This window comes from Homo sapiens, chromosome 8 (assembly GCF_000001405.40).
Source record: "Homo sapiens chromosome 8, GRCh38.p14 Primary Assembly".
Lineage (NCBI taxonomy): Eukaryota > Metazoa > Chordata > Mammalia > Primates > Hominidae > Homo > Homo sapiens.
Window position 1 is genome coordinate 145069522 of NC_000008.11, and position 9115 is coordinate 145078636.

A 9115-nucleotide genomic window follows, 5' to 3' on the forward strand; every position below is an offset into this window, starting at 1 on the left:
GGGTCCACGTGAAAGGGTCATAATAGATCAAGTAAGCGTGAGGAACGTGACTGGGGGCTACATACATCAGCTAACAGAGCAAAAAGTTTCACAGTGCTTTCTCATACAGTGTCTGGAATTTACAGATAACACCAGTAGTTTTGGTCAGGGGTTAACATTATTATTATTTTAACCACCATGGCCAGGTGGTGGCGCCAAGGTCGTCTCGCTATTTATCCTCTGTTTCTTTCCAACTTTTTGCTTTCTCCCTTTTCTCCTGCCTTATAAACTAGGGAAAAGGGGAGATTGGGGAGAAGCTGGGAAGGACAACAGGAGAAGTGGTGGTCTCATTCTGTATTTCCCCCCTTTGAGAATTTTCACTTCTTAGTGGGAGTTCTCACTCTCATCTTCACTTTCTGGGTCTCTTTGTGAGATAGAGCGATAGTGATTTATATAATACACATGTGCTGAAGTTTTTTGATGAACCAAAGTAGCAACAAAACTTTTTATCATTTGAAAAAGCAAGAGTAATACACAGGGGAGCAGTAAGGAAGTTCCTATTACTAGCAATACACCTACAATGAGGGTTTTAAATCCTCCTATAGCTGGAAACCATTTTCCAAATAAAGACTCAGGATCAAACTCGTGCCAAACCTGTACAGGCACATCTGCCAACTTTGTCATGTCCCTGACTATGTTTTCAACCACCTGTCCTTGATCATCTATTTGTAGGCAGCAATTGGTTAAGTTAAATTTTCTATGAACTCCTCCTTCAGCTGCGAGCAAGTAGTCCAAGGCCAGTCTATTCTGATAGATAACATTTCTCATTTGGGTTTCCTGCCAAGCTAAAACAGTCAAAGCTCTGCCAGTTTAATTAGTAATTATTTCTAAGACAGCCTGCAACTATATGATCCGATTGAGCATGTAGATGGGGGTTCGGTATCCCTATGAGCCGTCTTGTGCCCATGTGGCAGGCCCATAATACTGTATGATCCTTTCAGGGGGCCACTCATTATCTTTCCTATAACTATGCCTCTCTTTTCTCGGGAGGCATAGACAGGGAAAATTAGGAGCTCACCCGTTTTTATGGGGATGGCTTAATAGTGCCAATAACACAACTGCCTGCCCACTTATTAGGTAACTGAATGTAGGCTCTGTGCCCACATTTCCAGTATAGGCCAGCGGGAGCTGCCCAGTCCTGATGAGATTCTGGATGAGCCCAGGCAGTTTTTAATTTAGAAAATTTACTAAATGGGTTCTTTTCAGTGTGGTTTAGGCCCCACCAAGTAATTGTCTTTGTTGTGCTGTTGTACAACTTCTGTCCTATACAATTAAGCTTTCCTACAGGGATGATAAATTCTTTTCCTTCTCTAGCTATACAGTATTGTCCAATAATTGAGGTTTTTAGGACCCAGAAGTTGCTAACTTGGGCCTTCTGAACTGGAATTATATTAGGAGCTGGATCAGTAGGCACCAACTCTCAGGCTTCCCAAGGCCATCGGTCTCCGATAGTGGTTTCCCCGCATATATAAGATGTAACATTAAGTGAATGAGCTACATTTCCTGCTAATTGGAGAAACAAATTTTTTGTCTTTTTCGGAAGTTCTGGTGCTGGCAGATTCAGCTCCTCATAAAAGGTTTGAAACACTGGTTTGGGAGAGCGCTTGTGGACTTCCCCTCTAACTAAAATGGCAACTTGGGGGTTTAACCCTGTCCCATCGATCCCCAGGGTTACACATTCTCCCTTTTTCCAAGGAGGATCTAGGGGATTGGTAATTATTAGTTCTAGTGGGTTACAGTGACCGGCAGCACAGGAGGGGTTGGCTTCCCCCTTCTGAAGATGAACAGGGTCCTTTTTGTTCTTTTTCCAAGTAGCCCAAATAACACATGGCCAAAAGGCACAATTTTCACAAACCCCTGACTCATGACAAACATATTTATTTTGTACTCTGTAGCTCCTTTCCCAGTTAAGAGAACCACATCGTGTTCCTAACTTGTTACTATTAATGGCTGCACGAGCATCAAATCTTAAAGTTATTTGTTTGGGGCTTCCTTTTTCTACTGTTCTAGTTATTATTTTACTTGTGTCACCTAGGAAAAGGCCAGTTCTTAATCTTATTTCAAAAACGGTGGTTGCAGGGGGCTCAGATGGGTTATAACACACATCGGGTCGGTCATTTCCTGGGCTACATACCTTGTACTGAGTGGCATTATACAAACAAGTTTCTTTTAATGTTCCCATACATTCATAATAACTATAGAACAGAAAGTTTGTTTTAATTTGCTGTCCTACCTCGGTGACCTGATGAATACTCTGGGAACAGTCCCCAGTTTGAGTAAGGTCAATTGAAGCCCTTACTGTGTAAGTCCAAAATTTAAGAAAAATGAATCCCACGATGAGCTTCCTCATGCTTCGGCCGTGCGTGGACCAGTCAGCTTCCGGGTGTGACTGGAGCAGGGCTTGTCGTCTTCTTCAGGGTCACTCTGCAAGGGTTGTCTGGGCTTGGTCTTGCCTCCCAGGTTTCAGACGGTTTCATGGTGTTCTCTTTGAGCTGGAATTATAGTTGACATTTCATTATAATTTATTAGCTGTTCTAGACTTTATGCATTTATGTGACATTTTCTTTGTTGTACTTTAAGTTCTGGGATACATGGGCAGAGCATGCAGGTTTGTTACATAGGTATACACGTGCCATGGTGTTTGCTGCACCCATCAACCCGTCATCTACATTAGGTATTTCTCCTAATGCTATTCCTCCCCCAGCCTCCCACCCCCCGACAGGCCCCAGTGTGTGATGTTCCCCTCCCTGTGTCCATGTGTTCTCTTTGCTCAACTCCCACTTATAAGTGAGAACATGCAGTGTTTGGTTTTCTTTTCTTCTTTTTCTTTCTTTTTTTTTTTTTGAGACAAAATTTCACTCTTGTTGCCCAGGTTGGAGTGCAATGGCATGATCTTGGGTTACCGCAACCTCTGCCTCCCGGGTTCAAGCGACTCTCCTGCCTCAGCCTCCCAAGTAGCTAGGATTACAGGCATGTGCCAACATGCCTGGCTAATTGTGTGTATTTTTAGTAAAGACGGGGTTTCTCCATGTTGGTCAGGCTGGTCTCAAGCTCCCCACCTCAGATGATCTGCCCACCTCGGCCTCCCAAAGTTCTGAGACTACAGGCATGAGCCACTGCTCCTGGTCTGGTTTTCTTTTCTTGTGTTAGTTTGCTGAGAATGATGGTTTCCAGCTTCATCCATGTCCCTGGAAAGGACATAAATTCGTAGTATTCCATGGTGTATATGCGCCACATTTTCTTTATCCAGTTTATCATTGATGGGAATTTGGGTTGGTTCCAAGTCTTTGCTATTGTGAAGAGTGCTGAAATAAACATACAGTGCATGTGTCTTTATAGTATAATAATTTATAATGCTTTGGGTATATACCCCATAATGGGATTTACACTCCTACCAACTAATTTACACTCCTACCAACAGTGTAAAAGCATTCCTATTTCTCCACAGCCTCGTCAGCATCTGTTGTTTCCTGACTTTTTAATAATGGCCATTCTAACTGGTGTGAGATGGTATCTCATTGTGGTTTTGATTTGCATTTATCTAATGACCAGTGATGATGAGCTTTTTTCAATATGTTTTTTGGCCACATAAATGTCTTCTTTTGAGAAGCATCTGTTCTTTTCCTTTGGCCACTTTTTGATGGGGTTGTTTTTTTCTTGTAAATTTGTTTAAGTTCTTTGTAGATTCTGGATATTAGCCCTTTGTCAGACAGATTGCAAAAATTTTCTCCCAGTCTGTAGGTTGTCTGTTCACTCTGATGAGTTTATTTTGCTGTCCAGAAGCTCTTTAGTTTAATTAGATCCCATTTGTCAATTTTGGCTTCTGTTGCCGTTGCTTTTGGTGTTTTAGTCATAAAGTCTTTGCCCATGCCTATGTCCTGAATGGTATTGCCAAGGTTTCTTCCAGGGTTTTTATGGTTTTAGGTCTTATGTTTAAGTCTTTATTCCATCTTGAGTTATTTTTTTTGTATAAGGTGTAAGGAAGATGTCCAGTTTCAGTTTTCTGCATATGGCTAGCCAGTTTTCCCAACATGATTTATTAAATAAGGAATCCTTTCCCATTGCTTGTGTTTGTCAGGTTTGTCAAAGATCAGATGGTTGTATGTGTATGGTCTTATTTCAGAGTTCTGTATTCTGTTTCATTGGTCTATGTGTCTGTTTTTGTACCAGTACCATGCTGTTTTGGTTACTGTAGCCTTATAGTATAGTTTGAAGTTGGGTAGTGTGATGCCTCCAGCTTTGTTCTTTTTGCTTAGAATTGTCTTGGCTATTTGGGCTCTTTTTTGCTTCATGAGAATTGTAAAATAGTTTCTTCTAATTCTGTGAAGAATGTCATTGGTAGTTTAATGGGAATAGCATTGAATTCTTCTATAAATTACTTTGGGCAGTACGGCCATTTTCATGAATTAATTCTTCCCTATCCATGAGCATGGAATGCTTCTCCATTTATTTGTGTCCTATCTGATTTCTCTGGGCAGTGGTTTGTAGTCCTCCTTGAAGAGGTTCTTCACTTCGCTTGTTAGCTGTATTCCTATGTATTTTATTCTCTTTGTAGCAATTGTGAATGAAGTTCATTCATGATTTGGCTCTCTACTTGCCTGTTGTTGATGTATAGGAATACTAGCGATTTTTGCACATTGATTTTGTATCCTGAGATTCTGTTGATGTGATTCATCAGCTTAAGAAGCTTTTGGGCTGAGATTCCAGTACTATGTTGAATAGGAGTGGTGAGAGAGGCCATCCTTGTCTTGTGCCTGTTTTCAAGGGGAATGCTTCCAGCTTTTGCTCATTCAGTATGATATTGGCTGTGGGTTTGTCATATATGGCTCTTATTATTTTGAGGTGTGATCCTTCAATAGCTAGTTTATTGAGAGTTTTTGACATGAAGCGATGTTGAATTTTATTGAAGGCCTTTTCTGCATCTGTTGAGATAATCGTGTTGTTTTTGTGTTTAGTTCTGTGTATGTGAGGAATTACATTTATAGATTTGCCTGTGTTGAACCAACCTTGTATCCCAGGGATGAAGCCATCTTGATCGTGGTGGGTCAAGGTACCCTTATCAGTGTTAGGTTCAGTCTTTTTACATAATCCCATATGTCTTGAAGGTTTTGTTCATTCTTTTTTGGTCTTTTTTCTCTATTCTTCTCTGTTCTTTTTTCTCTATTCTCTCTTCCTGTCTTAGACAGATGGTTTTGAAGCTCTGAGATTCTTTCCTCCACTTGGCCTATTCTGCTAGTGATACTTGTGGTTGCATTGTGAAGTTCTCGTGTTGTGTTTCTCAGGTCTATCGGGTCAGTTATGTTCCTCTCTAAACTGAATATTCTGGTTATCAGCTTCTCTAATTTCTTTTATGATTTTTAGCTTCCTTGCATTAAGTTAGAATGTGCTTCTTTAGCTCAGTGAGGTTTGTTATTACCCACCTCCTAAAGCCTACTTTTGTCAATTCAGCCATCTCAGCCTTGGGTCGGTTCTGTGCCCTTGCTGGGGAGGTGTTGTCATTTAGATGAGAAGAGGCATTCTGCCTTTTTGAGTTTTCAGCATTTTTGTGTTGATGCTTTCTCATCTTTGTGGGCTTATCTACCTTTGATCTTTGACATTGCTGACCTTTGGCAGAGCAGGAGTGCTGTACTGATCTCCGGGATTCTCCAGAGCCAGCAGGCTGGGAAGGCTGAGTCGGCTGAACTGGGGAGACAGCAGCTACCCCTCTCCTTGGGGACTTCATCCCAGGGAGAAATCAGAGTTCTGTCCATAGAACTCTGGCTGGAGTTGCTAAAATTCCGATGGGGAGGCCCTGTCCAGTGAGGAGGGATGGATTTTGGTCTCACTTAAAGAAGCAGCCTGGCCACGATCAGGCTCAGCAGCTGTGCTGTGTTATGGGGAATTCCTCCTGGTCCCTAGTGCCAGCAGGCTAGAGCAGCCAACTCAAACCACAGATAGAGCGGCTGCCCTCCCCCGGGAACTCGGTCCATCTCCGGCTGTCTCGAGCCTGCTGCCGCTGGCCAGCTGGAATTCCAAGCTAATGGGTCTTGTGAGGTGCTGTGGGAGTGGGGCCTCAGAATGATGTCACTTGGCTCCCTGGATTCAGCCCCCTTCCTAGGGAAATGCACGGATTTATCTCCCGATTTGCTGGAATTCTCGGGGCAGAGGATGCAAAACTCCTGGGTTTCCACGCATGCCCCAGTGAGCCAGCGAGCACTCCGCCGAGACTCTACACAGCTCTTTGCTTCAGACCCAAGGCCATGGCTGAGCTCACCAGGGGACCTCCTGATCTGCAGGTTGCAAAGATCCCTGGGAGAAGCATGGTTTCCCGGGCAGAGTCGCACAATCCCTAACCGCCCCCCTTGGCTGCGAGTGGGGGGCTCCCTTAGCTTCTTGCCACACCTGGGTGGGCCATCACCCCATTTGCTTTTCCTCACTCCCTGTGGGTCGAGCTGACTGCCTAGTCAGTCCCAATGCAAGAACCTGGATACCTCAATTGAAGGTGCAGAATTCACTCGCAGTTTTCACTGCTCTCCGTGAAAGCTGCAGGCCACAGCTGCTTCTAATAGGCCAGCTTGGCCCCATCTTAAGTATGATTTCTTAATACATGAGATATTTTAAATACGTTACAATATTTATCAAGAAGAAACATGATCAATAGGAAACCTGCATGTCCTTGAACATTATAGAAATTTTAATTTCTCTTAAAATTATTCATGATAAAAATCTGTACTTTGCACATTTAAGAGAGATAAAAGCAGAGGGCAGGGACCTCCCTGATCCTGATAAGAGCACCCAAAGCACAAAGGATGTGTCTTTATCTCCTCCCAACTCCACAGTGGAAACAGTTGCTCTGGTTATCTTATCGCAGTGATGCACAGAGACATGATGGTCAAAGAGCTTGCACACTTTAAAAAAGAAATGTTGGCTGGGCACGGTTGCTCACATCTGTAATCCCAGCACTTTGGGAGGCCGAGGCCGGTGGATCACGAGGTCAGGAGTTTAAGACCAGCCTAGTCAAGATGGTGAAACCCCGTCTCTACTAAAAATACAAAAATTAGTCAGGCACGGTGGCAGGAACCTGTAATCCCAGTTACTTGGGAGGCTGAGGCAGAGGAATCGCTTGAACCAGGGTGGTGGAGGTAGCAGTGAGCCGAGATCTAGCCACTGCATTTCAGCCTGGGTGACAGAGTGAGATTCTGTCTCAAAAAAAAAAGAAAAAAAAAGTTATATTTTGTTGAGATTAAAAAAATAAATGACATGATTTGTCTACAGATCTTCATTACTCTACCTCATTTACATTAAAGTTATGAACAACTTAAATAATAAAATAACACACAGGGCCTTTATTGTTATTATTGTGATAATTTCTTTTTTAAAATTATTATTATACTTTAAGTTTTAGGGTACGTGTGCACAATGTGCAGGTTAGTTACATATGCATACATGTGCCATGTTGGTGTGCTGCACCCACTAACTCGTCATCTAGCATTAGGTATATCTCCCAAAGCTATCCCTCCCCCCTCCCCCTACCCCACAACAGTCCCCAGAGTGTGATGTTCCCCTTCCTGTGTCCATGTGTTCTCATTGTTCAATTCCCACCTGTGAGTGAGAATATGCGGTGTTTGGTTTTTTGTTCTTGCGATAGTTTACTGAGAATGATGATTTCCAATTTTTTTGTCTTTGGTTCTGTTTATATGCTGGATTACATTTATTGATTTGCGTATATTGAACCAGCCTTGCATCCCAGGGATGAAGCCCACTTGATCATGGTGGATAAGCTTTATGATGTGCTGCTGGATTCTATTTGCCAGTATTTTATTGAGGATTTTTGCATCAATGTTCATCAAGGATATTGGTCTAAAATTCTCTTTTTTGGTTGTGTCTCTGCCCAGCTTTGGTATCAGGATGATGCTGGCCTCCTAAAATGAGTTAGGGAGGATTCCCTCTTTTTCTATTGATTGGAATAGTTTCAGAAGGAATGGTACCAGTTCCTCCTTGTACCTCTGGTAGAATTCGGCTGTGAATCCATCTGGTCCTGGACTCTTTTTGGTTGGTAAGCTATTGATTATTGCCACAATTTCAGCTCCTGTTATTGGTCTATTCAGAGATTCAACTTCTTCCTGGTTTAGTCTAGGGAGAGTGTATGTGTCGAGGAATTTATCCGTTTCATCTAGATTTTCTAGTTTATTTGCATAGAGGTGTTTGTAGTATTCTCTGATGGTAGTTTGTATTTCTTTGCGATCCGTGGTGATATCCCCTTTATTGCGTCTATTTGATTCTTCTGTCTTTTTTTATTTATTAGTCTTGCTAGCCGTCTATAAATTTTGTTGATCTTTTCAAAAAACCAGCTCTGGGATTCATTAATTTTTTGAAGGGTTTTTTGTGTCTCTATTTCCTTCAGTTCAGCTCTGATCTTAGTTATTTCTTGCCTTCTGCTAGCTTTTGAATGTGTTTGCTCTTGCTTCTCTAGTTCTTTTAATTGTGATGTTAGGGTGTCAATTTAAAATGTTTCCTGCTTTCTCTTGTGGGCATTTAGTGCTAAAAATTTCCCTCTACACACTGCTTTGAATGTGTCCCAGAGATTCTTGTATGTTGTGTTTTTGTGCTCGTTGGTTTCAAAGAACATCTTTATTCTGCCTTCATTTCGTTATATACCCAGTAGTCATTCAGTAGTAAGTTGTTCAGTTTCCATGTTGTTGAGCGGTTTTGAGTGAGTTTCTTAATCCTGAGTTCTAGTTTGATTGCACTGTGGTCTGAGAGATAGTTTGTTATAATTTCTGCTCTTTTACATTTGCTGAGGAGAACTTTACTTCCAAGTATGTGGTCAATTTTGGAATAGGTGTGGTGCTGAAAAAATGTGTATTCTGTTGATTTGGGGTGGAGAGTTCTGTAGATGTCTATTAGGTCCACTTGGTGTAGAGCTGAGTTAAATTCCTGAGTATCCTTGTTGACTTTCTGTCTCACTGATCTGTCTAATGTTGACAGTGGGGTGTTAAAGTCTCCCGTTATTATTGTGTGGGAGTCTAAGTCTCTTTGTAGGTCACTCAGGACTTGCTTTATGAATCTGGGTGCTCCTGTATTGGGTGCATATATA